The sequence below is a fragment of the Homo sapiens genome, chromosome 9 (assembly GCF_000001405.40).
Source record: "Homo sapiens chromosome 9, GRCh38.p14 Primary Assembly".
Taxonomy (NCBI): Eukaryota; Metazoa; Chordata; class Mammalia; order Primates; family Hominidae; genus Homo; species Homo sapiens.
Window position 1 is genome coordinate 94,117,994 of NC_000009.12, and position 1,654 is coordinate 94,119,647.

General features: G+C 49.8%; 1 annotated feature.

Moving 5' to 3' along the window:
- Positions 681 to 1,377: an enhancer, noted in NCBI's record as "OCT4-NANOG-H3K27ac-H3K4me1 hESC enhancer chr9:96880956-96881652 (GRCh37/hg19 assembly coordinates)". NCBI's record gives its function as "activates a minimal SCP1, AML or CMV promoter by ChIP-STARR-seq in naive H9 embryonic stem cells {active_cell/tissue: H9 hESC(naive)}" and the evidence as "EXISTENCE:reporter gene assay evidence [ECO:0000049][PMID:30033119]".

The following is a 1,654-nucleotide window of genomic DNA, read 5'->3' on the forward strand; positions in this document are numbered from 1 at the left end:
TGGTGAATCTGACAATTATGTGTCTTGGAGTTGCTCTTCTCGAGGAGTATCTTTGTGGCGTTCTCTGTATTTCCTGAATCTGAACGTTGGCCTGCCTTGCTAGATTGGGGAAGTTCTCCTGGATAATATCCTGCAGAGTGTTTTCCAACTTGGTTCCATTCTCCACATCACTTTCAGGTACACCAATCAGACGTAGATTTGGTCTTTTCACATAGTCCCATATTTCTTGGAGGCTTTGCTCATTTCTTTTTATTCTTTTTTCTCTAAACTTCCCTTCTCGCTTCATTTCATTCATTTCATCTTCCATTGCTGATACCCTTTCTTCCAGTTGATCGCATCGGCTCCTGAGGCTTCTGCATTCTTCACGTAGTTCTCGAGCCTTGGTTTTCAGCTCCATCAGCTCCTTTAAGCACTTCTCTGTATTGGTTATTCTAGTTATACATTCTTCTAAATTTTTTTCAAAGTTTTCAACTTCTTTGCCTTTGGTTTGAATGTCCTCCCGTAGCTCAGAGTAATTTGATCGTCTGAAGCCTTCTTCTCTCAGCTCGTCAAAATCATTCTCCATCCAGCTTTGTTCTGTTGCTGGTGAGGAACTGCGTTCCTTTGGAGGAGGAGAGGCGCTCTGCGTTTTAGAGTTTCCAGTTTTTCTGTTCTGTTTTTTCCCCATCTTTGTGGTTTTATCTACTTTTGGTCTTTGATGATGGTGATGTACAGATGGGTTTTCGGTGTAGATGTCCTTTCTGGTTGTTAGTTTTCCTTCTAACAGACAGGACCCTCAGCTGCAGGTCTGTTGGAATACCCTGCTGTGTGAGGTGTCAGTGTGCCCCTGCTGGGGGGTGCCTCCCAGTTAGGCTGCTCGGGGGTCAGGGGTCAGGGACCCACTTGAGGAGTCAGTCTGCCCGTTCTCAGATCTCCAGCTGCGTGCTGGGAGAACCACTGCTCTCTTCAAAGCTGTCAGACAGGGACACTTAAGTCTGCAGAGGTTACTGCTGTCTTTTTGTTTGTCTGTGCCCTGCCCCCAGAGGTGGAGCCTACAGAGGCAGGCAGGCCTCCTTGAGCTGTGGTGGGCTCCACCCAGTTCGAGCTTCCCGGCTGCTTTGTTTACCTAAGCAAGCCTGGGCAATGGCGGGCGCCCCTCCCCCAGCCTCGTTGCCGCCTTGCAGTTTGATCTCAGACTGCTGTGCTAGCAATCAGCGCGATTCCGTGGGCGTAGGACCCTCTGAGCCAGGTGTGGGATATAGTCTCGTGGTGCGCCGTTTCTTAAGCCGGTCTGAAAAGCGCAATATTCGGGTGGGAGTGACCCGATTTTCCAGGTGCGTCCGTCACCCCTTTCTTTGACTCGGAAAGGGAACTCCCTGACCCCTTGCGCTTCCCAGGTGAGGCAATGCCTCGCCCTGCTTCGGCTCGCGCACGGTGCGCACACACACTGGCCTGCGCACACTGTCTGGCACTCCCTAGTGAGATGAACCCGGTACCTCAGATGGAAATGCAGAAATCACCCGTCTTCTGCGTCGCTCACGCTGGGAGCTGTAGACCGGAGCTGTTCCTATTCGGCCATCTTGGCTCCTCCCCTGTGTGGTTTCTCTTAACTGCTTATGTTAACATGTTAAAATGGGAGAAGAGAAATGATTTAAAGACAATTTATAATTCAAAG